The sequence below is a fragment of the Homo sapiens genome, chromosome 21 (assembly GCF_000001405.40).
Source record: "Homo sapiens chromosome 21, GRCh38.p14 Primary Assembly".
Taxonomy (NCBI): Eukaryota; Metazoa; Chordata; class Mammalia; order Primates; family Hominidae; genus Homo; species Homo sapiens.
The window spans coordinates 39761386-39776624 of NC_000021.9; the positions used below are offsets into that span (position 1 = coordinate 39761386).

Consider the following 15239-nt stretch of genomic DNA (forward strand, 5'->3'; position numbering starts at 1 on the left):
AACCAAAAATTGACAAGTGGTATCCAATTAAGCTAAAGAGCTTCCATGCAGCAAGAGAAATTGCCAACAGAGTAAATGGATAGCCTACAGAATGGGAGAAAATATTCACATATTCACAAACTATGCATCTGACAAAGGTCTAATATCCAGAATCTGCAAGGAACTTAAATCAACAAGCACAAATCAAATAATCCAATTAAAAAATGGGCAAAGGACATGAACAGATACTTCTCAAAAGAAGATGTACAAGATGATGGCATGAATAGGAGAAAGGGAATCTTTCCTTTCCTTTTCTTTTTTTGAGACAGAGTCTTGCTCTGTCGCCCAGGCTGGAGTTTAGTGGTGTAGTCATAGCTTGCGGCAGACTCAACTTCCTGGCCTTAAGCAATCCTCCTGTCTTGGCCTCCCAAATATCTAGGACCACAGGCACATGCTAACACACACGGCTATTTTTAATTTTTTTGTAGAGATGGGATATTGTTATGTTTTCCAGGATGGTCTTGAACTCCTGGCCTCAAGTGATCCTCCTGCCTTGACCTCCCAAAGTGCTAAGATTACAGGTGTGAGCCACTGCATCCAGCTGAAAGGGAATCTTTTCAATGGTGGGTGGCAACCAGTTGTTTACTCGGAGATGCCTGGTAGGACAGGAGAGAAAGCAAGAGGGCAGGGCTCGAGATGTGGATTTGAGAACTGGAGAGAGTTGGCATAAATAAGAATCTTCCAAGTGGATAAACTCCTATAAAGAAATCGTGTAGCCAGCAGAGGCCAGGATGTTGTGTTGGGTGACTGTGGACAAAAAGAGTCAAACTTCGTAAAGTGTTTGAAGAGATTTATCCTGAGTCAAATATGAGTGGCCAATGGTGCGTGACAAAGCCCTCAGGAGATCCTGAGGACAGTGCCCAAGGTGATCAGGATTACAACTTAGTTTTATACATTTTAGGGAGACATGAGACATCAATCAAATACATGTAAGATGTACATCCAGGTCATAGGTAGATTCAAAGATTTTCTAATTGGCAATTGGTTTAAAGAGTTAAATAAACGCCTAAGGACCTGGAAACAATAGTGGGGAATGTCTGGGTTAAGATAAGGGGTTGTGGCGACCAGGGTTCCGATTATGCAGAGGAAGTCTCCAGGTTGCAGGCACAGAGAGAATAGATCATAAATGTTCTTATCAGAGTTGATCCTCTCCTGGATCAGGAAAAAGTAAGGAAAAGGAAGAGGATTCTCTTCAGAAGGTAATTTACCCCATGAGTCAGCTTTGCAGGCCTATTTCAAGATACGGCAAATAAAACATATTGGGGGTTAAATATTTTGATTTCCTTCTTTACCTGTCATGTGATGCTATGCCAGAGTCAGGTTGGAAAGCAGCCCCCACTATATAGTGTTCAATGAAACCCCTCTGATGAGGGTTTGTAGGGTGGACTCCCCAGTCCCTTAGATAAGAATTTGGGCAAGAGAAGAAAAAGATCAGCCATTGGTCCTTAGTGACAACCATAGCTAGTGGCCACAGGGAGGTTCTCGGGCGGGAGGAGACATTGATCTTTCCCAGTGCTCTGCCCCCCATCTGGCTGTTTGCTCTATAAAGCAAAAGGGAGAGCAAAGAGGAAAGGGAGGTTTTAAGTGAGGCAGGTGACTGTGGGATTCAGGGTCTTCTTTACAGTTTTCTCCTATTCTGTACAGGGGAAGGTTACTGCTGATAAGACACAGCTGAGAGAGGGACGAGCTCCCGGGACCTAAAGTGACCAGAAATACAGCTCCTGAGTCTTGAGGCACAGCTGCGGCGTGGTTTACTTAGGGTTTGTTCTAGCAAGGACATTAACTGTCCTCCAGTGTTTATTCTGAAGAAATGTTTGGTTGGCCTTCCTCATCTCACTGCCTGACCTTGCAGTATAGAAAAATACTGATCATCTTGGCTCTTAAACAGGTGGAACTAAATGCCTAGCTCAACACAGGTAACACAGTCAGGGAAAGTTGGTGTTTAGGGTTGGATGCCTCCTGTTTCATCTGAAAGTCAAATCAAGGTCAAGAAGTTTCCATTTGGTGTAGCTCCCTCCTCCCTCCTTTTCATCTCCCAGCTGCAGAATAGGGTTATTTGGCCTGCACAGATTGTATGATTCCGTAGTGACACGTGTGGCCTCCGGGGTACATAAAGACTGGCCTTGGAGTGAAATAATCTCAGCACTTCGCACAAGGCACTGGAAGGAACTGGGGTTTCAGAGGGATGCTTGTTCTGTTGGCATTGTGTGGCCCGGACTTCTCACAGGGTGAGGCTGGGGCTCACCCACCCCATCATCCCCACACTCACCCTGCTGGGCTCTGTCCACTTGACTGCCATTGACCCGAGGTGGGAGTGCAGGAGGAGTGTGGTTATTACATCACGGACCCTCGGGGCGCAGACTCGGCTGTTTTCTCTTCTTCTTAACAAGCAATTCAGAGTTCATGGAAAGGGCATTGCGGCTTCCCTGGGGGAACTGTTTTCAAATTCCATTTCTCACGCTTAAAACAAAAATCAAAGTTCAAAGAGATCTTGGATCAGAGAGATTTGCCTTGAGGTCAGGGAGAATACCTAATCTGAGTTGTGTTTTAGAGTCATACTTTCTTTCTGTTTTTTTTAATGATGTCCAGGGACAAAACAAAGAGTAGTAATCATGTTTATCCAAATGCTGGCTTAGCCTTAGTGAACTCTCACCTTCTTCAGTTCTGCCTCTCCCGGGACCTAAAGCCAGTGGGCCCCTCCTCCACCCTGGCATCCTCGCCTCCTGGTCCTGCTTATGGAGGGGACTGTTCCTGGTGGCGGCTTACTCCTTCCCTTTCACGTGTTGTTCTTGCAGGGGCAGTTTAGCCCCCACAATGTGCCTGGGTACACAGGTGAAGTGCTAATGTGCTACTGTGTGTCCAACGGTGTGATTCCTCCCCAGAAACCTTTAGGGCTATAATGAGATTCTTTTAGAACCTGCCTTGCCATTTTTTTAGACAGAGTCTTGCTCTGTTGCCCAGGCTCTAGTGCGGTGGCGTGATCTCGGCTCACTGCAACCTCTGCCTCCTGGGTTCAAGTGATTCTCTGCCTCAGCCTCTCGAGTAGCTGGGCTTACAGGGATCCACAACCACGCCTGGCTAATTTTTGTATTTTCAGTAGAGATGGGGTTTCACCATGTTAGCCAGGCTGGTCTTGAACTCTTGACTTCAGGTGATCCGCCCTCTTCGGCCTCCCAAAGTGCTGGGATTACAGGTGTGAACCACTGCACCTGGCCTACCTTGCCATTTGACTTTACAAGGCAGAAGGAAAGGGAGGAGCTGCAGTTTTTGGGGCTACCCAGTGTATATGTTGGCAGACCACCTGGTTCACCCACAGGGATCCCACAACACCAGAAGGTAGTAGGACATGTTGCAGTGTCACTGATGGGGTGGGCACAAACTAGGAGAAGCCACGGTATGTGGTCTGCCAGGGTGTCTTCTTGCTATAAACTCTGAATGACATCAGAAGGGAAAAGAGTACGAAATTCAGAGTGAAAGGCCTGAGTTTGGGTCCCAGCCCCACTGCTGTGAATGCAAATCCTGGGATGTTGCCAGCTGGCAGAGTTGGTTTTTTATGGAGGCTCTGAGGGAAGGTCTTCCATGCCTCTTCCTTAGCTTCTGATGTTGCTCCAATCCTTGCCATTCCTTGGCTTGTAGATGCATCACTCCAGTCTCTGCATCCGTCCTCACATGATGTTCTTCTCTGCAGGCCTCTGTGTCTCAAATCTCACTCTGCATTTCTCTTATAGGGACACCTGTGAGTGGATTTAGGGCCCATTCTAAACCCAGGTTGATTTCATCTTGAGATCCTTACCTAATTACATCTGCAAAGACCCTATTTTCAAAGGTTCCATTCTGAGGATCCGGTGGACATGTGTTTTGAGGAATACTATTCAACCCAATACAGCTGTAGAGTTAGGGGGTAGAGTGGAAAGGAGGGCATGGCAGTGGCTTCCACCGGAAGCACCTGATCTGCCAGGGAGAGCTGGTGTTCGGATTCAAAAGACACAGTCTGAGTCACTGGATGGACAACCTGGGGGTTACCACTGGTAAATACAGAAAGGTTACAGCACACAGTTGATTTATGGAGATCCATTCATTTAACAACTTGAAAAATTGGCTACCTTCCAGGTTCTGGGTCTGGTAATGAAGTCATAGAAGGCCCCCAAAATGCAAGAGTCCTGAAGGGCTCCCAGGCTCGCTTCAACTGCACCGTCTCCCAGGGCTGGAAGCTCATCATGTGGGCTCTCAGTGACATGGTGGTGCTAAGCGTCAGGCCCATGGAGCCCATCATCACCAATGACCGCTTCACCTCTCAGAGGTACGACCAGGGCGGGAACTTCACCTCGGAGATGATCATCCACAATGTGGAGCCCAGTGATTCGGGGAACATCAGATGCAGCCTCCAGAACAGTCGCCTGCATGGATCTGCTTACCTTACCGTCCAAGGTGTGTATGCAGGTGGCTTCTGAAGTCCATCAGGTTAAATGTCAGAGGGCAGGAAGGACCTTCTAAAGTTCATGCCGCGTATGATGGCAGACGTGGTCTACCTTCAGTTGGTGTTGACCTACAATTATTCTGAACTGATGAATGTTTTGCGATTTATTTGTCGCCTCCTTCCTCCCTCATGCTCTCCCTACCTCCTCACTTCTTCTTCCCTTCTCCCCCTCTCTTCCTTCCTGTGTGCTCTAGCCTTCAGTTGGCAATAGGCTTAGAATTATTCTGGATGGACTAATGTTTATTGTTTCGTTGATTTATCCCCCTTCTTCCTCACTTCCTCCCATCTTTCCCTTTTTCCTGCTTCATTCTCTTTCTCCTTCCATCTTTGCTTTCCTTTTTTCTGGTTAAGACTGATAGAGACAGATTTTATCACTTCCCCTTTGAATCCATTTTAGTATTTAACAGCCTTTCTGGAAACGTATCCTGGAATTCTTCTAGGGCCAGTTGCAGTCATTTTTCTTTGATTTAGAGACAGTTGTCAATCACTGCCCTTTCTCTAGTTTTTCCATATACATGACTATATTTCTCTGCTTGCATCATTTATCAACTCTGAAGCATGCTTTAACTCTTTCCTCTTTCCAGCAGAATCCCCCCAACTTATTTCTCTACCCTGCCTCCAACTACAGTGGGATAGTCATTATAGTCAAAGTTGTGTGTTCACCAAATATATCAAGTCATTGAGAGAAAAGAAAAGAATAAACAAAATTTATAATAATAGCTTATTTTTCATTTTAGAGGTAATTTGGAGGTGCTGAAGATAATGTTACACAGTAAAAAAGTAAAAGGATGCTTTACAAAGATTTGGAATAGTCTTACCAAAATTTAATCACTTTGCATTCTTTAAAAGTGTATTTATACTCTATTTAAAGATATAGAGTGCCTGATTTCCATGGCAGCATTTCTTATAAGAGAATATATTATATCTTATAAATTATTTCTTATCTCTATATATTTACTTGTCTGGAAGAAATTCCCAAAGATTTTGTTCATATTTATGTTGCTATTAAATCAGATTTGATAGCCTTTGGTGGAGACATGTCTACCTATTTCTATTTGTGTTTTAAAAAATGTTTTTTATTTTAGAAATTTAGCTAAATTGGTGTGTCTTACTTTTGTGTGTTTTTAATTTTGTGTAGTTTAATTAGGGGCACAATTCTATTTTCTAAATAAGTGATTTTATAAGGCTATTTAGGACTGTTGGCCTATGTTGCATAACCAGATTCTTATTATGATAATTTGTGATATAAGAGAAAGAACAGAGGAAAAAAGAATCAAAGATATAAATTCTGGTTTTGGCTTCATCAGTTATCTATCAGAGAGACCCCTGAGATGGCTCAATTTCTTCATCTTTAACCTGGAGATGAATCTTCCCGGCCCACCTCATGGGTTTGTTGTGTGGATCAGGTGAAAAAATGGCTAAAGATGGTTTGATGACTCCAAAGTCCTGTCTGATTCAATTCCCTGCACATTAAGTTGGGAGCCAGAGTGGTCTAGTGGTCAGGAGTGCAGACTTGGGGCTTGGCTGCCTGGGTCCATGTTACTGCTTTATGACAATGTGTGACCTGGGACACAATTACTTAATGACTTTGAGTCCTAGTGTCCTCATCATAGGGCTGCCGTGGTGTCAAATGAGTAGGTCTATGTAAAGCCTTTACCACACCTGGCTCATAGCAATCACTGTATGGCCATTTGCTATTATTTATTGTGCTCCCAATAAAAGCATGCCATTGTGTTGGTTATTTAAGAGTGACTCAAAGAGGAATAGAATAAGACACAGTTTCTTTCTTTAGAACCTCACAAGAAGAGTGGATAATGCAAGTTGCACAAATAATAGGGATGCCAGCCACCCAGATGCTGGCAAGTGAGATGGAAGGGAGGCAAGCTCAGGTTCCAGTCGGGAGGGGAGCTGACAGAGTCAATAAAGCCTTCATGGATGATTTCATGGAGAAGGTGCCATTGGAGATGTGCCTTCCAGGTCTGTAGATGGTAGACAGAATGGGAAAGCAAGAGAGGAGGAGGGCATCCCTGGAGCAGGGAAACACAGGATCACAGGCATGGCTTATTACTGCTGTACTTATGACACATCACATTCAGAAACCATGTGGTTTTGTAGCATCTTTTCCCAAAGTCACAAGTCTACAAATTTGTCTGAATCCCGCTGACTTTTTATATATTGGTAATTATGGTAGTTTTTGGTTTTAATACAGATGAAAGAGCAAGCATCTAGAGAAGGCAAAGACTTCTCCAAGATATTGCGAGAGGAACCCATAGAGCTTGGCCTGAACTTCATCCCTTTATCCTCATCTCATTGCTCTGAATGGCACTTAGTTCCTAGAGGAGCAAATGTTCTCTGAGCAACAGGGTCTCCCTCAAGGGAGAAAGAATCTTGAAAAAAGAGGAAACAACCATGAATTATTCTATGATTTTTTCACCTCCTTATATGTCAACAAAATAGAGATGACATAACTCCAAATTGAGTCATCTGAAATCCATGTGAATATTCTAGTATCACTTTTGTATAAAGGGTTTGTCATGCTACTGGCTAACCTTTGTGAAAGCCAGTGGGGGAAAGTGGAATCCCAAGTGTATACAGAAAAAGGAAATCCTTCAGATCGCTGAGTTGGTCCACTTGCTGCCTTATCCACCAATCAATCACACACCAAACTCTAGACCTCTTATGTTTTGAGGGCTGCAAGGACTTGAGTTCAAGAGCTTCTGTTATTAACTGAGACAATATCATTCCTCCCAGTTCTGTCATCTTAAACCGTCTCTCTGTCAAACAAAACAAACACAAAACCCTTTAGACTCAAGGGACAAACCCTTTCTCCACTCCTTGTTGCATTTACAGTAGCCCTTGAATTAGCAAAAGTGCCTTTCTTATTCCAAGGGAATATTCAGGAAGGAATAATTGGGAAGCTAACATTTCAGAGCAAAAAGATCTTTCAGAGCCGACCCAGTTCACTGTAGTCTAGGGACTCCTTGATGTACCCTGAGATCCTTTCAGGGTGGTCTATGAAGTCATGATTGTTTTCATAATAATATGAAGATTCCTATTATTGTTGCCTTTTTCACCCTTCTTCTCACAAGTGCACAGGAGAGCTTTCCACTATACATTGGGAAGGTCTGCATGCCTCAGAATTTTCCAGATGACTGAAGTGTAACAAAATCATGCAAGGATAAAAGGTCCATTCAAAGTGCCAGATAGTGCAATGGGTTTCAACATAACAGAAAATGAAAGTTCCTTGATAGAGTTTCAGATTCCACTGTGTAACAAACATTTAAGAAACCTCAGCCGGGAATGGTGGCTCATGCCTGTAATCCCAGCATTTTGGGAGGCCCAGGCGGGCAGCTCACTTGAGCCCAGGAGTTTGAGACCAGCCTGGGCAGCATGGTGAAATTCCATCTCTTAAAAAAAGTGCTGGGCGCGGTGGCTTATGCCTGTAATCCCAGCTACTCGGGAGGCTGAGGCAGGAGAATAGCTTGAACTTGGGAGGCGGAGGTTGCCGTGAGCCAACATGGCACCATTGCACTCCAGCCTGGGCAACAAGAGTGAAAGTCTGTCTCAAAAAAAAAAAAAAAAAAAAAAAAGAGAAAAGTAAGTTTTGGTACAGTATTCAAGAATATCCACAATTATCTGAAAAAGCTATTAAATACTCCTCACTGTTCCAACTACATATCTGTATGAAGTCAGGTTTTCTTTACATCCTTCAAACAAAGCAGTATATTGCAACAGACTGAATGAAGAGACAGCTATGAGAATCCAGCCAGACATTACAGAGATTTATATAAGTATAAAACAATGTCACTCATCTTATTAATTTTTTTAGTTTAAAAATGTGATTCGTTTCCATGAAAATATGTTAATCAAAATTAACATGTAATAAATTATTATTTTAAAATATATGTTTAAAATAATTGTTTAACTTTAATTTCAAATATGATAAATATTGGTAGATAAAACCCACACAAATGAAAGGTCTTTGGAGTCCTCAATGCTTTTGAAGAGTGTAAAAGGTACTGAGACCAAAGTGTTTGAGAAGTGCTGATCTGGTCAAACTATCTCATTCAGTAAGTACAACAAAGAGAGCCAAAAAAATTCAGTGACTTGCCCAAAGTGATGACAATTTTCTGGCAGAACCAAGATTGGGAACAAATTTTTTCATTTCTTAGTTCAGTATTCTTTCCATTATGTTGTGTAGTCCAGAGTTTCAGCATGTTTTTCTTGGACATATATGTATACACATTTCACTAAGGCTGTGTCTTTACTGGGGCCAATCCTCAGGTTGTTTTAGTCACACTTGTGAAAACAAGTACTATTTTCATATGGGTTGTTTGCAGTATGAATGCTGACCTATGCGAGAGTGTTCTTAATAAAAAAATAACTTATCTAAGTTATTCTGGCACATGATTTGGGTTAGTTATTTCTGTAAATATTAGATTGGAATTCGATTTAATTTGTAATGAGAAACCTATGTTAAGGCAATACCCTAGGAAGTTATGTTTAAGACCATATGACCCTAGAAATAAATAAAAATGTATCTGATTGACCAAAACTCCAGGGGAGACTTGCGTCTGACCCTGGGCTGTGTCCTCGTCACAGTGAGAAGAAGGTGAAGCTCGTTTCTCTTTTTCCCTTTGCTCCCTCGACAGCCCAAGATAATTCTGTAGCTCACTTCAGGGATTGTATAACCCCCCTATGGCATGCACTTTTCTTTCCCACATAATTATTTCCCCCTGGTTTCTGACTTTTATGAAGCATTTTCTATGTAACTTTGCTTTCTTGTGAGCAACCTCACCTTCTTCAGAGACTCTGGCAGGTGTACAAAAAAGACCCAGATAAAATCTGAGTTAAGATTTCCTAGTAGAGACACAGCCTCTTTGGGCTTGGGAAAATAGGTCTCACAAAATGTAATTTGAAGCAAAACTTAAAAAAAAAAAGAAAAAAAAAAAGAAAACTTAGAAGCGAGAGGCATGGTCATGTCTTCAATGTGTTTCTCTCTTTTCTTCTTTAGTTATGGGAGAGCTGTTCATTCCCAGTGTTAATCTTGTAGTCGCTGAGAATGAACCTTGTGAAGTTACTTGTCTACCCTCACACTGGACCCGGCTCCCGGATATTTCCTGGGAGCTCGGTCTCCTGGTCAGCCATTCAAGCTATTATTTTGTTCCGGAGCCCAGCGACCTTCAAAGTGCAGTGAGCATCCTGGCTCTGACCCCACAGAGCAATGGGACTTTGACTTGCGTGGCTACCTGGAAGAGCCTGAAGGCCCGCAAGTCTGCAACTGTAAATCTCACTGTGATTCGGTGTCCCCAAGGTAAGTGAAGACATTCTGCTTTATATGAAATGAATGATTATTTCATGCTTCAATATTACGTAGAATGCTCCTTCATCCACGATGCCTGGAAAAATCATATGGCGACCTTGATTTTGGGTGGGGATGATAAGGCCAATCACATCTGCTGTCAGCTTAATAATCTTATACCCTCGTCTGCTTTTTAAATTCCATCTTAAAGTTTTTTTTCTCCTATTACATTTGAAAACCATTTAGAATCTTGCCAATTATTTATCATCAAAGAGCATCAAGTTTGGAGACAAATGCTTGAATTAAACATTTGTGTTTCTAGCTTTTACCTACCACTGTTTCAGTTTGATCCCACCCCCTGAGCCAGTATGAAGCAGGTCTTCATACTGGAGGAGGGTGTTCAGGTCTCCCTGGATTTCTTCCAATCTTAGTGGAATTATAATGCTTCATTTTCTTCCCCACCAAATCTACAATGTGTTTGAAAGTGTCAAGTCTATATGTATATAGTTTAACTTGACTAAATGACAGAACTTTAAAGTTTAGATCCCCCTAAAGAATCTCCTGTGGGGTTTTTGGTGTACCAGACACTCTAACCACATTCCTTGAAGGGGCCCATAGCGCCTGTGAGCTTTGAGTCAGCCTGGACAGGGTGGGCCCGGGATGCTGGAGATTGACTTTAACTTAACATTTTACAAAAAAGGAAGTGAGGCCCGGAGAAAGTCTGTGCTTTCATCCGGGTCACACAGCCAAAGTGGCAGAGCTGGGCCTAGAAGCTGAGAAGAGCTTTTCTTTTCGTGTCTAAAGCTTTTCCCACCATGAAAACACCTTTACCTGAGATCTTCCAAAGTTCAGAACAAAGCCATAGCCAAAGCCAAATAATGATGGTAACGATAATAAACAGCACCCTATAGCTCTTACCAAGTTATCAGGCACTATTCTGAGCACTTCTCAGGTATTCACAGAATTAACCGGCCCTACAGCCGTATGAGTGTTGCTGTTATTCCTATTGTAAAGGCAAGGTGACCGGGACAGTGCTGTTGGGATTGTGCACACGTCTGTAGAGTGAGTAAATGACAGGGCAACCTGTACTCACCTGTAGAGTGAGTAAATGACAGGCAGTCTGTCTCCAGAAACTGCTCACCTGGCAACTCTGCCCACCGTGTGAGCAGCCACTTGGAGGGTATAAGAGGTCCCATGGCTGCCGTAACGGAGGACCACAGGCTTGGTGGCTTAAACAACAGAAATGGATTTTCTCACAGTCCTGGAGGTTGGAAGTGTCATCAGGGCTGGTTCCTCCTGAGGGCTGGGAGGGAGCCTCTGTTCCTTACCTCTCCCCTTGTTCCTTGTGGTTGCTGGCCATCTTCCTTAGCTTGTAGAAACATCACCCTCCTCTCTGCCTTCATCTTTACTTGGTGTTGTCCCATTTTTTATGGTCTTTTCTGAGATAAACACTTTTGAACGGTACAGGTTATTTTTGCAAGATGCCTCTCAATTTGGGTCAGTTTGGATCAATTTGGATCAATTTGGATTTGTCTAAAATTTTTCATCATACTTTGACTTAGGTTACATATTTTTGGCAAGATATAGGTAATGTAATGTGGTCACAGGATGACAATTTTCATTGGCGTAAGTTTGACCGTTTGGTGAAGGTGGCATACCCTGAATTTATCCAACATAAAAGTACCTTTTTTGACTTTATAATTAATATGTAGCCAATAGATATTGTGGGAATATCCTGTTTACCCACAACCTTTCACCTAATACAATTTTTTAAAAAAACTTTTATTTTAGGTTCAGGGTTACACATACTGGTTTGTTGTATAGGCAAACTCATGTCACAGGGGATTGTTGTACAAATTATTTTATGACCTATGTACTAAGCCTAGTACCCATTAGTTATTTTTCCTGCTTCTCTCCCTCCTCCCACCCTCCACCCTCAGATAGACCCCAGTGTGTGTTGTTCCCCTCTATGTATCCTTGTGTTCTCATCATTCAGCTCCCACTTATAAGTGAGAACATGCGGTATTTGGTTTTCTGTTCCTACATTAGTTTGCTAAGGATAATGACCTCCAGCTCCATCCACGTCCTTGCAAAGGAGATGATTTTGTTCTTTTTTTACCTACTAACTTTTACATTCATTGATAAATCATTGCCTGAATCAATTACTTCTATGGTGATTGTAAAGAGTGATTTCCTGCTTCCATTATTCTTTCCATATCTCTTAATTGGCTTTCTTTTGTTAAACAAAAGACTTCCCTCCCCTTTCTTCCTTTTCTTTTTTTTTCCTCACAGTTTTAGTAGGGACTCAATTTTGTCCAATACATTCTAATCTATTCCTGTCATTTTTCGTTTTGACACCCAGATTGCTCCAGACTTGGTCAGTTGGTGTCCCTCCAAGCTGGTGCTGGTGTCCTTCCGACATCCCCCTATTAGTTTTTGAGCACCTGGACCAGTAAGGTGTTCCAGTCTCACTTTGCACTTCCCTGTCTCCACCTGGAATCAGTCATTTCTCCAGAGAACCAACCTTAAATATCATAAGTTAGTCTACTTAAATATGATAAAGTATGGTCCAAACTTTGAAAGAGAAGATTTTAAAAAAATCCATTAGCACCAAATGGAATAAAATGGACTGGTTAAAGCATATATCTTAACGAGGTAACGATGCAGCAGGAGCTCTGGCCTGATTGATGGTACCTTAGAGAGATAGATTTTAGAGACTGGCTTGCTTGCAAATGTTTTCTTTTGTAGTGGAAGGGAAAGAGAGCACTTAATTTCCCTTGGTCAGGTTAAATTCACTGAATTCTTCTTAGTCCAGAACTAGTGCCTTAACGATGGTAGCTGGAGGCATGGCTGCTGGAGAGGGAGGCTCAGTGGGTGCTTGCAATGAGTCTAGCTTTATTGGATTCATTTGGAACAGGGTAATTTGTTTCTAAATTATTCATCAAGATCCAGTGCAGCTGGTGGCTGGCTGCATGTTGTGTGTTTTAGGTAAGTTTTATTAGCTGAAGACCTCATTGCAGCCTTGGTTGGCGGAGCTGGTGACCAGACGAGGCTGTAAGGAGAACAGCCAGGTTTCCAGAGAGCCAAGTGTTAATGGGGCTGTGCCCATTCAGGCTTCTTCAGGAATCATATAAACATCCATTTTTCCACCCATTTCCTAAAAGTGCAAAGCATTTGTTTTCATTTCTGAAATGATCCCTGCAAGTCGTTGAAACAGGAATGACGTCAGCTTTGGAAGCTTATCCAGTCAGGGCAAGTCACAGGGTTGTATGAAGTACTTCCTGGTTTATAGTTCAAAAGGTTTCTTTAGAGAAAAACATACTGGGAGGGCTGACATTCATTTCAGATCTGTTTTTTAGAAATTGATTTTCTTAACTACAGAAATGATACAAACCTCGAGCATTGCAGACGTATCCAAAACTGGAGAGTGAGGCCGTCTCACCCTGTCTTGGGAGAAGCACTGTCAGAGCCATCTGCCCCTCGGGGTGGTTTTCTTTGTGCACTTATTTGTGTGTAGGTTGTGAAATGGTTAAAATGAAGTAATGTTTTTAGGACACATGAGCACCTTGTGGAATGTAGTGATTCCTGGTTATAACCTTACTGTTTTGAGAAATGGCAATTTTGGGTGCAGAGAAGAGTAGTAGAAGTGACAGTCCTAGGCCTTTGCCCTGGCACTGATGGTGCAACTTTGGGCAAGTCAGCAAACTTCAGGGCTCAGTTTTCTCACCTGTAAAGTGGGTAGGAGAAGAATAGAGAAGTCCTCTCTCCCGGCTGTGGATCAGAGACAGCAGAGGAGCCTTCTTTATAAATATGCTGAGGCTCAGCCTCCTCCTGGGGGTTTTGTTTCATTGGTTTTTGTGGAGCCTGGGAATTGCAATTGTAAAAAAAGTTCCCAAGTTACTCTAATGGGCAGCCAGGATTGGGGGCTACTGAACTGAAAAAAAAAATCTCTAAGGCCTAGCCTTCCCCTCCAGCCCGATCAAGTGCTATGTCTACACAGACTTGGACATTAGACAGCCTGGGTTCCAATCCCAGCTCACACAATCACTAGCCGTGTGTCTTCTGGGCAAATTACTTACCCTCTCTGAGCCTCAGTTTTAGAACGGTCCTTGCTCCAGAGCACATAGGACTGGAAAGGGAGTGATTGTCATTCACACTATTGATTCGGAGATCTCTTGTGTCGCCTCTAGTGGGCACAGGGATATGCTTTGCACATGATAGTGGTGACATTTGGTATTAATATGTACTTGGCACGTGTTGGTGGTGACATTTTATATTAATCCATTTGGTTTTAAGAAATTCTATACCTTTTTAAAACTCTATGCATTCCTTTGAGAGCATCTGGGAAATGCTATTTTCCTTTTCTTCACAGATGGGAAAAGGACAATCTCCAAGTGGAGGTTAAAGCACATGGTAAAGTCAGTAATGAGGCCCTAACAAGCACACAGTGGTGTGAAGGAGTGCAGGGAGAAAGGCAAGCAGTGTTGACCTTGGAGCTAATCTTCCTTAGTCACTATGTGTGGGTTACTCAGGTATAGTATACTCATCCTCTCCAGCAAACCTGCCATTCACCTGAGCCAGACACACCCACACCCTCCATAGGGTACAAGGCACAGACCAGCACCCCACTGTAGACTTTATGCAAATACATTTATGTCATACCTGGGCCATATTTTCCTCAGAAGGATTATTCTACATTGGAGACAACACATGGCAGGATGGAAAGATATGAGCCAGTGGCCCTGTGGCTTCCTGTTCTGGGCTCCCTGTGCCATTTACTTAGTCACTCTGTCCTGAGCGTCTTGTCTGCATGATGAAAAGATTGGATTATGGATGACATCATTCCAAGAGTCTGTGTTTTCTGTCCACTGTCAGATTTTTGGTTTGTCAATAATATATGGCTATGATCTATTTTTCAGTATACAGTAAATGCACTCTTTTTAAAAAAATTAGCTCCATACTAAACAAAAATATACATGCATGTGTGTATACCTATGTGTATAGATATAAAATATATATTATATATGATAAATTTTAAATGGTTATGAAAATAAGAAAGGTCTATCTTTGTAGCCCCAGCACTAAATCATGCCTCTTGCTGACTCGTACACTACACTTTGAGCTCCAGTGGATTAAAGGGAGACTTCAGCTTAAGTCTCACCCAGGCATAAAACTTGGAACATTTGCCTTCCAATGGAGCATGGTCACAACAAATAGGAAGTGAAAGAATAAGTGATGTGGTTCCTAATACCAGTTCCATTTTTGTCAGAGTTTGGGTCTTTTAACTGAATGCAGGCATCACTTTCTGAACTTTGTGGTTAAATTAAGGGACAAAAGAGTGTTTAAAGTCCCTCTGGCCCTCAGTCTCTCCCTTGACTCAGTCACCATTCCCAGCAAAGTGTCCCTTCCCTTCTGTTAAAC

General features: G+C 42.6%; 1 protein-coding gene across 2 annotated transcripts in view; it reads left to right on the forward strand.

Annotated features, from left to right (window-relative positions):
- The window catches only part of IGSF5 (immunoglobulin superfamily member 5), a 90311-nt gene that overhangs the window by 49615 nt on the left and 25457 nt on the right, over nt 1-15239 (forward strand). For both annotated transcript variants that reach the window (XM_047440699.1, NM_001080444.2), the window contains 2 exons: nt 4150-4467; nt 9531-9830. In XM_047440699.1, coding sequence (XP_047296655.1) covers nt 4150-4467; nt 9531-9830 — 618 coding nt within the window. The remainder of the gene's footprint in view (nt 1-4149; nt 4468-9530; nt 9831-15239) is intronic.